This window comes from Homo sapiens, chromosome 2 (assembly GCF_000001405.40).
Source record: "Homo sapiens chromosome 2, GRCh38.p14 Primary Assembly".
In the NCBI taxonomy this organism is placed as follows: Eukaryota; Metazoa; Chordata; class Mammalia; order Primates; family Hominidae; genus Homo; species Homo sapiens.
In genome coordinates this window covers 156426881-156444704 of record NC_000002.12, presented here as the reverse complement: position 1 = coordinate 156444704, position 17824 = coordinate 156426881, and the positions used below count along the sequence as shown (strand labels likewise).

The 17824-nt window shown below is 42.1% G+C and overlaps 1 protein-coding gene across 5 annotated transcripts in view, besides 3 other annotated features; it reads right to left on the bottom strand.

Moving 5' to 3' along the window:
• The window catches only part of GPD2 (glycerol-3-phosphate dehydrogenase 2), a 186123-nt gene that overhangs the window by 141699 nt on the left and 26600 nt on the right, over positions 1 to 17824 (bottom strand). Inside the window, exon 1 of one of the 5 annotated variants that reach the window (XM_011510977.3) lies at positions 9296 to 9415. The exons of 1 other annotated variant lie outside the window; for it this stretch is intronic. The gene's annotated coding sequence lies outside the window, so the exon portion shown is untranslated. Of the gene's footprint in view, positions 1 to 8089; positions 8327 to 8900; positions 9154 to 9295; positions 9416 to 17824 lie in introns of those variants that run through there. 3 more of the 5 variants (NM_001083112.3, XM_017003830.2, NM_000408.5) reach the window with 3 other exon arrangements.
• Positions 8205 to 8614: a silencer, noted in NCBI's record as "silent region_12022". NCBI's record gives its function as "represses an Ori minimal core promoter by ATAC-STARR-seq in GM12878 lymphoblastoid cells {active_cell/tissue: GM12878}" and the evidence as "EXISTENCE:reporter gene assay evidence [ECO:0000049][PMID:35858748]".
• Positions 8765 to 8814: an enhancer, noted in NCBI's record as "active region_16664". NCBI's record gives its function as "activates an Ori minimal core promoter by ATAC-STARR-seq in GM12878 lymphoblastoid cells {active_cell/tissue: GM12878}" and the evidence as "EXISTENCE:reporter gene assay evidence [ECO:0000049][PMID:35858748]".
• Positions 9055 to 9224: a silencer, noted in NCBI's record as "silent region_12021". NCBI's record gives its function as "represses an Ori minimal core promoter by ATAC-STARR-seq in GM12878 lymphoblastoid cells {active_cell/tissue: GM12878}" and the evidence as "EXISTENCE:reporter gene assay evidence [ECO:0000049][PMID:35858748]".

The following is a 17824-nucleotide window of genomic DNA, read 5'->3' as shown; positions in this document are numbered from 1 at the left end:
GTCTTGTTCCGTTGCCCAGGCTGGAGTGCAATGGCGTGGTCTCCGCTCACTGCAACCTCCACCTCCCAGCTTCAAGCAATTCTCATGCCTCAGCCTCCCGAGTAGCTAGGAATACAGGCACCCACCACCACGCCTAGCTTATTTTGGTATTTTTAGTAGAGACAGGGTTTTGCCACGTTGGCCAGGCTGGTCTCAAACTCCTGGCCTCAAGCAATCCACCTGCCTCGGCCTCCCAAAGTGCTGGGATTACAGGCATGAGCCACTGCCCCCTGCGGAATCTATATTTTTTAGATAAGTATCCCAGCTACTTAATGGCGGATGGGGATGGGGAAAAGGGGTTAATACTAGCAAACACAGTGAAAGAAAAAAGTGAAAATATACTTGTTATGATAGGTCCTATGAGCATAATCCTGAAGAGAGATAAAAGGAATGTGGCAGCCTCTAGATGTGAATGCTATACCTGGAGAGGCTGAGAGCAAGGAAACCCCAAACTCCAGGTAATAAAAGGAAAATCTAGGCCAGGGTCCAGAGGCAAACAGAACCCAGTGGCCATGACTGGCTTCCTTTTAGGCAGGACAAGAGAAATAAACATTTCATGCTCTCCATGGACTTCAAATTCATCCAGTCCAGCCACCTTATTTGACAAGGAGAAAAGTGAAAGGTCCAGACAGTGACCAAAGCCACACTTGAGTGGCTATAATGTGGCTGCAGGGATGCTCAGAAGTAGGCACTGCCCACCTTTGACCTAGCCCACATAAATGGTCCCCAATGCGCTGTCCCCATAGAATCCAACGCCTTTGATAAGGGGGACAAGGTAATTTTTGTAAGTCATCTTGTTAGGAATTCATTTTCCAGATTCTTTCTTAAGAGATTGGATTAGGTGGGTAAGTAGGGGGAAGGGAGAAATTGGTGAAGAGAAGGAAGCCCTGGTGTCCTGACAGAGGTGCTGAGTCCTCAGTGGACATTAAGTGGCCTCCTTATTTGTAGATTCCTCCACTGATTTTCTTCAAGGATTCCTTTTATAATGTCACTTCGCCCCTTCCCTCTCCTAAATATCCTTAAGATATTAAACCTCTCAGCACCTTGGGAGGGAAAAAAATTTTGAAATAAAAATAAAAAGATTAAAACTGCCAAATGTGTAGGGAGGGAGATGCCTAAAAAAAGATGAAGCTTAAAGTATCCAGTTGAATAGATTACCTGAAATACACCTGCCTGTGTGGTATCTGGTGTCCAATCACACCCAGCACACTCTTATCACTTATTGCTGAATTGGGGATGACTGAATTATGGGGCAACCATTAATGAACAACTGCTTACTAGGTGTCACCCACATGAAAGGCACTTGGATTAGGCATGTGAGGTCTACAAAATTGTGTAAGATCCAGCATGATCTTCCATAGGAAAGAAAATTATGCATGCTTGCAAATAATTACAGGAGACAAGCATCTATAAGGGAATTATGAGTAGCATAAAAAGAGTAGCTAAAGGGTTTAGAAAATATACAAGACATTTCTGACTGGGGCTGTGAGGGAAAATGTCATAAAACTAGTAGCCAGGGGTCAGGGCACTCAAGGTTTGTTAGGATTTCAAAAAGTGAAATAGAAGGAAGAACATCAGAATAGGGACAACAGTAGGGAATTCCTACTTTTATATTTAGGGAATTCCAATCAGTCCAATATGACTGGATCATAGAGAAGATAAGGACAGCACCTTAATATTAGGGTGAGAATGAAGGAGTCTCTGAATTAATTCCAAGACAAATATTTAGAACGTGATCAAATAGGGCAGAGTAATCCATGGAAGCATGGAGCAGAGAGAGTGACATGATCAAAGCAGTTTGGGCATTACCACAATGAAACAAAACATCCTTTCTTTTTATTATTTTTTATTACTTTTTTATTTTTTTGAGACAGGGTCTTGCTCTGTTGCCCAAGCTGGAGTGCAGTAATGCAATCATGGCTCACTGCAGCCTCGGCCTCCTAGGCTCAAAGGATCCTCCCACCTCAGCCTCCTAAGTAGGAGACACGCACCACCAGACGCAGCTTATTTTTTATTTTTTGTAGAGACAGGGTCTCACATGTTGCCCAGGCTGGTCTCAAACTCCTGGGCTCAAGTGATCCTCCTACCTTGGCCTCCCAAAGTGCTGGGATTACAGGCATGAGCCAACACTTAGCCAATATCCTTTCTTTTATTCAGTTAAAATGAAAAGAAAACAACTTTTGAGAACCTAGTACTCTGAACTGCATTATTTTCATCACTTTTGAAGTACACTTAGAAGCTTATTTTATGTTTTCTTGAAATCTTGACCAAAGTTTTTCCTAATAAGTTTACCCTGAACATAAACTTTTGTTCCACATAAGTATATAGCTATCTAAAGTTTCTACTTGGCCTTGGTGGTCATCAGCAGATACAAGTAGCAAAGCATTCTAAGCATGTCACCCCATTGTCACCAAGTAATACTCAGAGGTTATCTCATTTGACAGTAGCAGCTTCTAGAAATCTCGATTTCAGAAAACAGTCTCTCTGTCATAGCTTGTCAGGTTTGTTTTTCCCACTATATTAAACCCTTTTATAGAAGGATATATGTGCACAATCAAATATGAGATTCCACAGAGGACATACTAGTATTCAAAAAACATAAGGCTTGAAAAATCTAAATCAAACAATCATTGTTCTAAAGTACCCAGACTTTGACAGTATCTCACTGTCAAAAATACAGTACATAAGTAATTCTTTCATTTTGCCTGAATAATTAAAAGATGTACCCAAATAATGTCTTTAAGTTTTGTCAATACATATGTAAAGAAAACTTATTCCTCTAGTCACAATACTTCTGACACCAAATGTATGGGTTTTCCACACCAAGAAACTCTCTGTCTAGGGGCACCAACTAGAATGTTTTACCATTTAACTCAATCTGACACTAACTGCCCAGAGTTTGTGCAGACGCCACAGGGTAAGGGCTCAGTCCCATGAGACTGCCCTCCACTTCAGATGCCAGTCAAAAATAGTGGGCCCCGGGATATCCACACTTCTGTTAGACTTAGCTACAAATCAGGGGTTCCTACAACCCCATCCTCAAATTTGATAATTTGCTATAGTGGCTAACAGAAATTTACTTACTTTTTTATCTTTTTTCTTTTTTTGAGACAAGGTCTTGCTCTGTCACTCAGGCTGGAGCGTAGTGGCACTAACGCAGCTCACTGCAGCCTTGACCTCCTGGCCCCAAGAGATCCTCTCACCTCAGCCTCCAGGGTAGTGAGGACTACAAGCATGGACCACCACACCTGGCTAGTTTTTTCTTTTTTAATTTTTTGTAGAGACAGGGTCTCTCCACGTGGCCCAGGCTGATCTCAAACACCTGAGCTCAAGTTATCCTCCTGTCTTGGCCTCCCAAAGTACTGGGCTTACAGGTGTGAGCCACCACAACAGGCCTACTTACATATAACAGTTTATTACAAAAGGTATTAAAAAAGACACAAATCAACAGCCAGATGAAGAAGTACACAGGGCAAGAAATGGGAGAAGGGGTGTCCTCTCTGGGCATGCCTTCCTTCCAGCACCTCCATGTATTCACCAACTCAGAAGCTTTCCAAAATTTAAGGTTTTTATGAAGGCTCCATGATGTGGGCATGATTGATTAAATTATTGTCCACTGGTGACTGACTGGATTTCCAGCCCCTCTCCTCTCCCCGGAGGTCTGGAGTGAAGCTGAAATTCCAACCCTCTAATTACATAGTTGGTTCCTCTGGCACCAGCTCCCATCTCCATCCTGAAGCTATCTAGGGTTCTACCAAGAGTCACCTGTCATCTCAGCAGTGTAGAAAAAGACACTCATCATTCCAGAGATTCGAAGGGTCTTAAAAGTTCTTTAGTCAGAACTGGGGACAAGTATCTTTCTTACTATATCACAATATGTCACAATACATTTGTACTTGAGAAGGAGAGACATCTATTAACCAATTTTTCCCACTAATTTTGTGAACTAATTGAACCGAAGCTTGACCTAAATAAATCAGAAATCATGTTTTTGCTGCATAAATCAGAAATTTGGTTTTGAAAGAACATAAAATTCTCTACTGAAAAATAGGAAATAAGAGCACCGATATGATATAGAAAGAAATACACAACTCAAAGAACTAGTAAGAGTCTCTAACGAGAGATCAAATCCCAGAACACAAGCCAAAGGGAAAACAAAAACAAACAAACAAACAAACATGGTCACATTCACATCAGGACACAAATTAGAATTCTGGATGCATTCTGACCACAATCATTATCTAAACATCCTCAGGTATTCAAACCATCAACATCTCTTCCTTTCTTTTTCTTAAATGTTCCTGAGATCACTCCCTGGTCATATAGTACAGGAAGAAGTCTATTCTAAAATTGTTAGAGATTTCCTGGCTTGCAGTCACATTGGCCCTTGTCTTTCTCACTTGGAGTTGAGTTTGATCATATCTTCCTCATACATTTCTTTCACGCATCATGTCAACAATTCTAAAACAAAGAAAAGTAAAACACACTTTATTAGTTTCTTCTTCCCCTAACATACCACTTCCAAGTTTTCTTCTTATCTCAAAAGTCTTAAGACATGATGGAATTATTTAAGTATTTTGATGAGCAACTAAAACTTACTTAATAATATCTTCTTAGTTTAGTTCCATTCAGTTCTTCTCTATCTCCCAAGTAACAATTTTGAATTTAGCGGGTTGAGGGGTCTCAACCCTGATGACTAATAATTTTCTCCTTATACTCCAGGTAAAAAATATATAAAATATACCCCATTGTCAAAACTGAATAGAATAACTGGCAGGCCATCTGACACTTTATTTATTTATTTATTTATTTATTTTTTGAGACAGATTCTCCTTCTGTCGCCCAGGCTGGAGTGCAATGGCACAATCTTGACTCACTGCAACCTCTGCCTCCTGGGTTCAAGCAATTCTCCTGCCTCAGCCTTCCTAGTAGCTGGGATTACAGGTGCCCACGATCATGCCCGGCTAATTTTTGTATTTTTAGTAGAGACAGGGTTTTGCCATGTTGGCCAGGCTGGTCTCCAATTCCTGACCTCAGGTGATCCGCCTGCCTAGGCCTCCCAGCCCAAAGTGCTGGGATTACAGGTGTGAGTCACTGTGCCTGCCTGGCTTGTTTTTTTTTTTTTGTTTTTTTTTTTTTTTTTTTTTTTTTTCTGAGACAGTCTCAAGCAATTCTCACGTTTTGGCCTCCTAAGTAGCTGGGACTACAGGCACGTGCCACCATGCCTGGTTAATTTTTGTATTTTTTTGTAAAGATGGGGTTTCCATGTTGTCCAGGCTGGTCTCAAACTCCTGGGCTCAAGCGATCTGCCTGCCTTGGCCTCCCAAAGCAAAGTGCTGGGATTACAGGTGTGATCCACTGCACCTGGCCTATCTGACACATTTTTAAGCAAGTGTGTTAAAGGTGGACAAGAATGAAGAGTTACCATTTTCACGCCAATCCTGAGCTTTAAACTTCACAGACATAGTGACAAGTATTGATTTCTTGCATATGCAGAATTTTACTGAAGATTTCCCATATAATTTTCAACAGAAAGATCATTTTTGAAAGTACAAGATTATGTTGGCTTTTTCATACAATGAAGTACACAATAGCAAACATTCCTAAAACAAAGGTGATCTTTCCAATAGTCTTCAGGACATGTTAAGTCTCTCTGTTACTGAAGTGGCATTCCCTTCACCAGGAAGCTGTCTCCAACTACTTGAGCCAATATTAACCTTTTCCTTCATAATCACATCAGTTCTGGCCAACATCCTACCACTGGAAAAATGATTGTACGAGGTCTTATGTTGGTCTCCAATTGTTTTCCATCTATGTTTTACCTTGTTAAACAACTGTAAGCTTCTCAAAAGAGGTTAACTATTTTTTTATTTAGCACTTATTACACAATATAATGCTGCACAAGAATACAGAAAATTTCATTTAAGAAGACTAGTGTTCATATATTTGATTTCTAGTCCTCTTTCTGAAGTGTTGTTTCTGCACTTAGGATAGCCCCATGAGTCCAGGTGTTGACAAACAGAAAGAATCAAGTTTTGGAAAACCTAAACAGAAACATCATCACATTCAAAAACTAAAACTGAGAAATTAGATACTGATCTGAAAATTGCTTCCCTTCTCTAATAACCATAGCTACCACTAACTCGCCTCTCCTCTCCCCATCCCAACACACTCAACTAACCGAAAAAAATGTACGGATAATTCATGCACAACATGCAAGAATTCTTTGCCCAAATTTTCAAGCTAACTACATTCTTTGCCCATATTTTCCTACTTGAGTATAAGAAGGAAAAATATAGGATGGAAGCTAGTCTTTTGAAGTCTACTACTTGCCAGGTACATTGCTAGCAATTTTACACACGTCATAGCATTTATTATCCATATTTTGCCAATGAGACAATTGAGGCTGAGTTTTAAAAGATGACCTAAGGCCAAAGTCTTTGGCTCCCCGCTCCACAACTACCCTCAGCTGGAGTTTGTTCCACAGTTCAGTCGCTCATTGAGAAAACATTTATTGAGGGTGTATTACAAGCTAGTCACCCCTCTAGGCATTGGAGGTCACTCATTGAGAAAACATTTATTGAGGGTGTATTACAAGCTAGTCACCACTCCAGGCATTAGAGTTTTGAAAGTATGCAAGACAGAACAAGCCCTGCTACTCTCATAGAACTTACACGCTAGAGATGAAAGAAAACAACCAAACAGGATAAGTTCAGAGTTATAATAGTTTGCCAACATGAGTTATGCACAATAATCATCAAATCTTTTAAAATATCTACAATGAGATTAAATAGTTACAAAAAAAACTAAAGGGGGTGGTAACACTCACTAACAATTGGTAACACTGTGGCCCTTTTGTCAATTCCTGAACCAAGCCATTGCATCTTTGAATGAATCACAAGGGAGAAAGAAGGAAGCAGAGCTCTAATGCTGTTTAGAATTTCTTTATAAAATAAAGTGACTCTATAAGCTATGAGAATGGACAGTTGCAATGAATCCATTGTTGGTTCTCAAACCCAAAACCCCATATTTACCCATTTATTCATTAAAATATTGCTGTATTATTTCACGAGTTGATTTGTAAAAGTCAAGGGAGTGTTGTAATTTGACATAACGCCCCTGTGAGAAACAGAGGGGGGTTTCAACATCCACATCACAAGGTTCCCCAGACTGCACACGGTCTCCATTGGGCAATGGCATCCAGATGTCATGTGGTAGCCAGCAAGAACTGTAGGACTGGGACTAGAGTGGTCAGTAGCTACGAAGAAGTGCCTGGGCCCAGTGTGACAGCTGCCAGCACCGTCCACACGCCAAAAAGAAACTTCACATCTCTTTAAACTTGGAACACATGCAAAATACTAACAGTTTTGTTTTAGCAATAAAGACTCCCTGTCACTTACTAACTTCCTTCCCTCACCTATTTATACAAGTATAAGTTGACTAGCTGCTATTTCTATAGCTGCCTCCTATGATATTTATAATGTGTTGTGTGTGATTTGGGTTGCCCATGTCACTAACACTTTGCAAGAATTTGTGTTTGTAAATTACTCTGGAACTCTTCTGGGAGTGAATATTCCACTGCACAAGGTGGAAGCCAGACTAGAGACCATCTGCTAAGAGCAGCACTTCATTCACCCAGCTACACCTTCCTGCCAAAGCACTCTTTGCAAATCTATTTTTGCTGGTAGAAGTTACTACATAGGGAGTGGAGGCTGTTTTAAGTTATCAGTGTGCACCTTCCATTTCCTCCTAGGACGGTCACACGCCAGCAGCTGAGTTTCTCAAAGAAGCCTCAGCCCTCCTCCAGACTCGTTCTCACTCTTGCTTCGGAAGGGAGCAACAATCCTTATCAGACTAGCCGCATCTACAAGCTAAAAGTTTGCATGAACTTTCAATGGGGTACCAACCCTCGCCCCAAAAGTCCTGCCACTTTACTATTTTACAAATGCCGCCTCCAAAACATAAACAACGAAACCCTAGAGAAGAGCGAATCCATCTTCTGCTGGTGGGAAGAAATTCTAAATCTTTCCCGTTTCCCGCCACCACCTACCGCCAAGACTGGAGTCCCAGAACACTCGCCCGGGTCAGAAAGGGACCACTCCCCCCCTAGAATACTAGAGGCGGGGGAAGGGGTCTCCCAGGAAGCACACACCTGAGATAGATCCTCACGCGCGAGGGGCCAGCGGGCAGGAGCACCCAGTTCCTCCAGCCAGGGTGGAGTCGGCCTCCCCCCAGAATCAGAGCCTCGGCCCGGGTGCTCCCAGCGAGGCGCGCGGGGCTGTCACTCGAGGCGGGCTGGGCGGGTGTAACTCGAGCGCCGGGCGGGCCGCGCCCCCGCCTTCCCTCTTCCCGACTTCCTCCTCCCGCTCCCGCGCCTGCTCCCTCCCGGAGGCCTGACCAGGGCGGCGAGGCCGCCACCTCCTGCCCGGATACCTCGGGCCCAGGCTCCTCCGGCCCAGCGGGGAAACGCGGAAGTGGGGGCGGGAACCGGGGCCGGGGTTGGCGGGGGTGTGGGAGGGAAAAGCCAACAGCGGGCGGCGAGCGAGGTGGTCTCCGTGGCCCAATGAACGTGACTAGACGGGGACGCGGGTCCTGCCGCCGGGTGGGGTCGCGCAGCGCCACACGCAAGGGCCCTCGCCCCTGGCTGCAGTTCCTGCTTTGTGCCTCGGCGATGCCGGACTCCAGACCTCCGCCCCGCCTTGCCAGCGGGCTGGCGGACTGGAAAGCCTGAGCTAGGCCAGGCTGGGGAAGACGGTGGCGGTGTCCGATTTCCTGTGCCCTCGCCCATGCGGGCCGCCCTGGCCATCTGCCTGCGGGAGAGGAGACACTCGTCCGCCGGCACGCTGGCGGGGCTGGCTTACCTGACGACTTCTCGTTGTCCGCCCTGGGATCTGGCTTCTCCTACTCTGTACCTCCCGGCCGGCAGGCTTCCCTAGGCCTACAGACGTGTCCAGGAGGCGGGCGACCCTGCGACCCCGCCGTCAGAGCCCAGAACCCTCGCCCGGCTCCCCCGGCGGGCTCTGGAGGCGCGCCAGGCCTCCTGGCTCCCCGCCTGAATGTCAGCGCAGGGACCCGCAGGGAAGACCAAGCCCAAGCTCCAGGGGGTGGAATGCTGAGCACAGGTTCCCCAGACCCAGCCTCATACAGGTGGGGGGAGGCGGAGAGCCCCGGCAGCTGAACAGCAGGCTTCCCACTTGCAACCCCCCGCCACCCAAAAAAAAAAAACGACCCTGCCCACTGAGCATGCCCAGCTTACTTGTTGGAACTCCTAGGGCTAGACAAGCCCAAGGGGACCTAAGGAAGGCAAAGTTGGGGCTCAAATGGACCCCACTTCTTTAACAGCTTTGCTCCGAAGACCTCTGGGTGCTGTACTAATAACCTTTCTATCGTGGTATTGGAAAATATCCAGGAGATGGACGGAAATGCCTTTCCAAAAGAAGGAAGAAAATTAGTGTGAACCAAAAAGCAGTGGTATTTTTTTAAATAAAGTATTAAGTCACTCATTTAATGTCCTTAAATACCGCAGAATTCCTGTAGTTGACCCAGAGGAATGCATATATTTATTAAATCCCAAACTCAGTAACTTCAGGGAACCATCCATAGTCCACAGAGGAGCAATGATTCTCACCCTTGGACACATTAAAATTGGGGGGAGGGGGCAGGGAGGGGTGGAATGCCAGATTTCCATCCCCAAGTCCAATGAGTCAGTCTGGACGTGGGATCTGCAAGTCCTTGTATTTTAAAACTGGCTCTAAAAGTGTAGTCACTGGAGCCCGCAGCATCAGCATCACCTGAGAACTTGACAGAAACTGTACTCCAGTGACCTGATTCATAGACTCTGGGGCTGGGGCTGAGCTACCCAGATTTAACAAGCCCTTTGGGTAGTTCTGATGCACATTAAAGTTTGAGAACCACGGTTTAAAAGCTCCCCCAGTTGAATCATGAGCAACCAGAAAAAGGAAATTGTAGTTGAGAAAAGAAAAATAGTTCAGAGCATTTGAGCAATGTGAGGTATGCAAAATTTATCAGGCCCAGAGAGACCTTGAATATGGGACATAAGTTGCACCCCCCACACTCATGCTCAGAGGCGATTGTTTAAAGGCATTTTGTTCATGACTGACTACCCAACCATATCTTCATGTTCCTGGAATTTGTGATACGAAGAACAATCTATAGACAATTAATAGTTTGTTTTTTTATGTAAATTATTGGTAAACAATTTAGAAACTGCCTCTTCTTTTCCTTTAAAAACTTCCTTGTGGCCGGGCAGGCGCAGTGGGTCACGCCTGTAATCTCAGCACTTTGGGAGGCTGAGGTGGGCAGATCACGAGGTCAAGAGTTCAAGACCAGCCTAACCAACATGGTGAAACCCTATCTCTACTAAAAATACAAAAATTAGCCGGGCATGGTGGCAAACACCTGTAATCCCAGCTACTCAGGAAGCTGAGGCAGGAGAATCACTTGAACCTGGGAGGCAGAGGTTACAGTGAGCTGAGATGGCACCACTGAACTCCACCCTGGGCAACAGAGTGAGACTCCATCTCAAAAAATAAATAAATAAAAACTTGTGACTGGGCAACATCATGAGACTGGTTATATTAAGTATGCCTCAGTTCTTTTTTCTTTAGTTTGACAAATCAAACCAATATTTTTATCATTTTTTTCAAACCCTCATCATTTATCTAGAAATGCAACATGTTACCCAGAAAAGGAATAATCTGGTTGAGTTGGGTGCCAGTCCTGGATTTCCTTCTCACTGATTATCCCAGATCAGTTCAGTGCTTGGGAAATGGGACCATCAGTTACTCACTTTTGTACTCTAGTGCCTAGCATAGTGCCTGAATATAACTGATGTTTAAATGTTTCTTGATTTGAAATGAATGCTTAGGTGAGCGATCTGGTCCAATCCATACTATGTCAGCTGATTATTTTCCCCACTAGTCCTAGTCACACTGCTAGCTAGTGTAACCGCCCAAGGGGTTCACCTTGCCCGCTGCCTAGACAGAGTCGATTGATCAAGACAAGGGAATTGCAAGAGTAATTCACGCAAAGCCAGCTGTGCGGGAGACCAGAGTTTTATTATTACTCAAATCAGACTCCGGAGCATTCGTGGAGCGGATTTTTTAAGGACAACTTGGTGGGTTGGGGGAAGCCAGTGAGCCAGGAGTGCTGATTGCTCAGGGATGAAATCATAGGGAGTTGGAGCTGTCTTCTTGCACTAAGTCAGTTCCTGGGTGGAGGGCCACAAGGTCAGAGGAGTCAGTTTATTGATCTAGGTGGTACCAGCTGATCCGTCAAGTGCAGGGTCTGCAAAATATCTCAAGCACTGATCTTAGAAGCAGTTTAGGGAGCGTCAGAATGACTCCTTAACCATAGTTTCTAATCTTTTGTGGCTGTTAGTCCTACAAAGGCAATCTAGTCCCCAGGCAAGAGGGAGGTCTGCTTTGGGAATGGGCTGTTACCACCTTTGTTAAAACTATAAACTGTAAACTAAGTTTTTCCCAAAGTTAGTTCAGCCTACGCCCAGGAATGAACAAGGACAGCTTGTAGGTTAGAAACAAGTTGCAGTCGGTTAAGTTAGATCTCTTTCACTGTCTAGGTCATAATTTTGCAAAGGTGGTTTCACTAACCACCTTTTCCTGAGAAAAGTCAGGAGCACTGGACGTGATTCCTCTTGCCAAATTTGGGGCCCAGAACAACCAAAGGACAGCAGAAAGATGTTGGCATCTGGTGGGATTCAGGAAGGACACAGAAGGAAAAAGGTGTGCATGAGAGTGGGGTCAATTGGCACAGACAAGGAAAGAAGCTTCACCTGATCAGCATACAATTTACTCTGAATCTTCTTTTTCAAGACCGTGCACCTCTGCTCTATAGTTCCCACTCTCCCACTCTTCACACACACATCTAATCTCAACTATTGACTTGAATAAAATAAATAGGAAACTGTTGTATAGTAGATAATTTTCTCCAATAAAACATTGCTGACTTGCAATTAGAGCATAAGTTATTTAGAGCATATTTTCAAAGTTGTTAATTCTTAAAAATGCACAGCCCTAAAAAAGAACAAAATCACTTTGTAGCAACATGGATGCAGCTGCAGCATATGGATGCAGCTGCAGGCCGTTATCCTAAGCAAATTAATGTAGGAACGGAAAACCAAGTATCACATGTTCTCACTTGTAAGTGTGAGCTAAATCATGGTTTCACTCAGACATAAAGATGGGAATAGGCACTGGGGAATCCAAAAGGAGGGAGGGGGACAGGGGCTGAAAAACTTCCAATTTGGTACTATGTTCAGTATGTGGGTGATGGAATCAATAGAAGTCCAAACCTCAGCACCACACAATCTACCCTTGAAACAAACCTACACATGTAGCCCCTGAATCTAAAATAAAAATGGAAATTAAAAAATTTTTAATGAATATTAATTTCAAAATGTAGAGGTTTATGATCATTCTTTTAAGATTTTACAGATACTGGCCGGGCACGTTGGCTCATGCCTGTAATCCCAGCACTTTGGGAGGCCAAGGCAGGAGGATCACCTGAGGTCAGGAGTTCAAGAGCAGCCTGACCAACATGGTGGAACCTTGTCTCTAGTAAAAAATACAAAAATTAGCCAGGTCTGGTGGCACACGCCTGTAGTCCCAGCTACTCGGGAGGCTGAGGTAGGAGAATTGCTTGAACCCGGGAGGCAGAGGTTGCAGTGAGCTGAGATTGCGCCATTGCACTCCAGCCTGGGCAACAGGGCGAGACTCTATCTCAAAAAAAAAAAAAAAAAAAGATTTCACAGACACGCAGACACGTATAAAATAAAACACTATGCCCTATTTATTCCATGAATCTTTTCTAAAGAGAATAAAATATAATAACAAATTTTTCTTTCTAGCCTAATACATAACACTTTAAAGCCTTTTTTGACAATTCTTTTTATGAGTATCTAAGTAGCTTTCTGCCTCCCTATCTCTAGCCCTGTGTCTTGCTCCTAATATAACAAGAATTCCACTGAAAGGGTTTGGTTGCTGATTAGAGTATGTAACAGGAACACAATTTCCTATATGCCTAAGCACTTTCTTTTCATTATTAAGATACTTTCATGGAGAAGTGGGAGATAATCATTAATTTAGGAATTGCTCTCAGTAATTACTATGCCAGCTCCACAGACAATATTGAAAAAAAAAAGCAAAAAACAAAAACCTTCCCTTCTCAACAAACACTTGCTACTGCTTCTTTTTTGCTTATAGTATTAAAACCAAATCAAACAAATAAAGAGGTTTAAAACTAAAAGTGTAGGAAGACTAAGTGGGGTTATGAGAAAGGAAACAATGACCATAACCAAATTTTAAAACATGAAGTAATTATTTCAGCAGAAGGCAATCTAGTGAAGACCAAGACCTCAGGGAAGTGAGAGTCTTAAGTGTTTCTCTTCTTCCCCATAAGAATGACTCAGCATTTGGAATGAAACTATGTTTACTGTCTTTCAGATTTCTGGTGTCAAATAACTTTGGTGCCACCTAACTCCTTTCTCCTGTGCCTAAGAAAACTCAAGGACAGTCATGGGTTTTCATCCTCATATGGCCACAAAAATCTGAAAAGCTTTCCCTTTTTCACCCATACCTGTCTTACAGAAGCCTAAGTTGGTCCACCATTCATTTATCTTGTTTTTGTTGTGTTGTCAGACGAATTTAGGTTGTCACCTATATCCTGGTGTAACAAAATGAGCAAGAAGTTTTTTCCTTCCCAAACTTGGAGAGTAGGCTACCTGCTACTAAGACATCTTAAACGCAGCTTCTGGGATTGACCTTTTCCCACCATGTGGGTACTTTCCAGTGATGAGTCTACCATGTACTTTTAATGATCACCACATGTCTAGAGCCAACTATTTTAGTCCTTGCCCATTTCTAGAGAAAAACAAATTTTTCCCATAGCCAGGTAAGTGTTCATTGGTTACCAAAGCTCAAAGTAAAATGTATGGAATACTAGAACTGAACTGGGCTGTAAATGTTAACCCCACACTTTCATTTTCTAAGAAACAAAACCAAAGCTCAGCAGTATTACAACATTAGCTAAACATGGAGCCAAGACTAAAATGAGAAACTGCTTGGTATAGAGAACACTGTGTGAGCTCAAGTCATCTCTTGTAAGTTCTTCAACCATGGTCTGGTTCTCTAGCTTTCCAGAACCTCGGTATCCTTATCAGTGAAGGATGTTAATATCAAACATTCATATGGTGTTTACTTTATCTCAGGCACTAGTCTTAACAAGGTGATGTAATCCTTAATCCTCAGCATAACTATGTAAGTATTTTGTTTTTCTGTTTTTTTTTCTTTTGTTTCATTCCACCAAATGGGGAAATTAAGGTACAAACCTATTAAGTAATATGCTGAAGACACCACACCTAGCAGATGGCCAAACTGGGATTGAGTGGGATAATATTTGTAAAATGCCTGGTATATAAGTTGTCAATAGAACTATTACCAATGTCAGTTTTCCTCCCTAGATCACAAGCATATCCTGCCAAAACACTTTGTTCTGAGCTTTGTATGTTCACATATTTTTTTCATTATATTCTTTAATTTGGGTACAGTTTAGGTAGTTTACATGAATTAGAAAGTTATGTTATATATGCATCTAACATAATCGTATCCATTGTTAACAATAGTTGCAAACACTAAGAAGTTAACCAAAAATTAAAGACTACAAGTTTACTACTTACCAATAAACAAAACTAATATAGAGTATCTAAAAGATTAACAGTGCTGTCCAAGAAAATCTTAAATCCTTGAGCAGGATCAGACCAATCACTTTGGGATCTTAAGATAAGAACAGCTCATTTGGTAGATCTCCACCTACTTGATACACGAATTCTTAACAGCAGAGTTATAGACATCTAAAAATATCCAACAGAAAATCTTTCCATGTCAGTGATTCTGAAAGAGTTAGAATCAAGAATGAAGTGAAAATATATGATCCTTGAAAAGATGAAATAAAAATACTAAATATATTTTTAAATGGGTACTTTAAGTTTTATTTCTGCTTTATAAGAACTGGGAATGTATTCTTAAAATAAATGTCTAAAGCATCAATATAAAGTGGCACCAAGAAACTTACTTAGATTTAAAGGCCTGAGGGTAAAGGAAATGTGTATTCCTTCCCTAAACAGGAATCCACTTTGTCCCTGGGACAGGGTAGCACTGAAAACTAGCTTTTATAAATTTTCATAATGTAAACTCAATAATGTTGTCTCTGGAACATAGCCACCTATTTAATAACAGCAGGAAAGTGTGGGTAAGCAGAAATGTCCCAAGAAACTCTTGCAGAGAACATGAATAAGTATTAAGTTCTGTTGTGGGAGCTGAAACAAAATAGAGAATTCAGCTTTTCAGAGTAAAGCTTAGTTATCATCCTAGTGAAAGAGGTAACTGAACCAATGGTAAATAACCCAAGAAACTGGAGATTTGTTCAGTCCCACATCTGAATACATTTTATATAACCTGGAAATGGTTTAAATCTCAGCAGTAAATGCTTAAAATAAACTTGACCACTGTTTATAATGTTATAACATGATTTTAAAAAAAGAAAATGAATGAATTTGAATAGCAAAAACAGCATAACAATAGCAACAGACAGGATTTATGTCTGTACATGATTAGCTTTAAAGTGAGGATGTTGTATCTTAGCCTTCAAACATGTAGGCATTGACCTAATTTCTGCTAAGCCAAGAGGAAAGTTTTTTACACGCACAGAGCATAGGCCAGAGGGTAACAGGTGCTGTTCCTTGGCCTGAAAAGCAAATCTCCTTCATTCCTCCTCTATCAGCAAAATCATCATATAAAGCCTGAAAAATGGAAGACAGGAAAGCAGAGAATCTTTGTTCTGTTATCCTTCAGTTACAAATTAAAGTTCATTTTTGAAAGAGCTCTTTAGGGAGGCGTAAAGTAGAAGGAGAGAATGGTTAAATGTAACATCCATCAAGGAGAAATTTTACAATTTAATGGGAAGTGTATTATTTAAAAATTCTCTAGGCCACGCTGTAAATAAATAATCCTGTTCCCTTCCTGCCTAACTGCTAGCCAAGCTTCTGAGAATGAAACAACTTGACATATGAGAAATAGCTAGAAACTGGTGTCAGGGCATCTAGAAACTTTTTTATTCTAGTAAATCTAGAGTAATGTGTATTCTAAAAAATATCTTTCAATAGTCAAATGTGGTACAAGCCAATTTTTATTGTGTTCTTCACTGTCAACCTGGTCCTCTTATAGTATTGAAATACAGCAAAAGTCCTGCCCTCACAAAGGTGGCCTTCCTAAAGTGGGTCTCAGAATGCTGGAGGTTGAAATTCTAGTTTTTTCACCATGAGGCCCACCCTGGACATAGGGTATCCTTTCACTTTACATAGGGTGTCCTTTTGGGTCCTGCTGTTGCAGTAGGTAGAAAGCAAAGTCTGCAGCCTAATGAGAGCTAAAGCAAAGACTGAGAAGCTACACTATGGTAGACTGAATAATGGCCTCCCCAAAGTTATTCACATTCTGATCCCTGGAACCTGTCAATTTTACCTTATTGGGCCCAGCAGTGGGGAGAAGTGGGGGAGTTGGAGATGTGATTAAGTATCCTGAAATGGAGAGATTACCCTGAATTATGGGTGTGGGCCCTAAATGCAATCATACTTATCCTTAAAAGAGAAAAGTAATAGGAAGATTGTATGCACACAGCAGAATAGAAGACAGAGTGACCATGAATACAGAGATTGGAGTAATGCAGACACAAGCCAAGAAAGGTCTGCAGCCACCAGAAACTGGAAGAAACACAGAATGGATTCTCCCTAGAGTCTCCAGAAGGAGTGCAGCCCTGCTGACCCCTTGATTTCAGCCTAGTGATGTTGATTTTCAACTTCTGGCCTCCAGAACTGTCAACCAATAAATTTTCATTGCTGTAACAACCAAGTTTGTGGCAATTTGTTATAACAGCAATAGGAAACTAATACAGCTTTCTCCATTTATTTCCCTTTGGCACTAATGCCAATCTATCTTTCTAGAGCTAGATCTTCAGTACATCATTGACATTTGTAGGATGTCTTTAATTCAGAATGCCAAAGCAATTTACAACCATGTAAATGGGCTCAATTTTGTATCCTGTGGGACATTCAAGCAATACCAAAGCCTTGTAAAATTTGAGAGATGCCTGGACCATTTTATTTTGTACTTTTTGAGATTCCTAACTAATAAATACTAAAACAAGTTTGAAAAAAATTACAGTATAATTTGAGTGTTTACAATTAGTCAACTAATTCTTAGCAAAAGAATACTTCAGTAACTATTTCCACAGCCTCATTTAGAGATAAGAGCAGAATTTTAAATGTGGGGTCCGAGGCAGACAGATGGCTATACCACTCAGTTCCTCTTTCAAGCAGAACTTATTTCTCCAGCTCCTGGAAGCATCTTCAGTAAGTGGCTTTCAGCAGCCAGCTCCTTCAGAATTTGTCTGGACTGCTGAAAGCTGCCTCAGTCAAGGCCATTCCTTTGCTGAGTTAGTTGTTGTCCTGTGACTGAATGAGGCTGGGGTATAGAGACTCAGCCAGATAATTGGAAAATAACTCTGATGGGCCATATATGCTCTAGAACTCCCTCAGGGGTTGATTGAGATTGCATCACAATCCAATTTCTCCCTCTGCCCAACTCTGCTTCTGCCCTCTTCCTTTCAGAAGTATTAATCCTAATAAATCACCTGCATGTCATATTCCATCTCAGTATCTGCTCTGGAAAGCCCAATCTGCATCAGGCCCTTCATA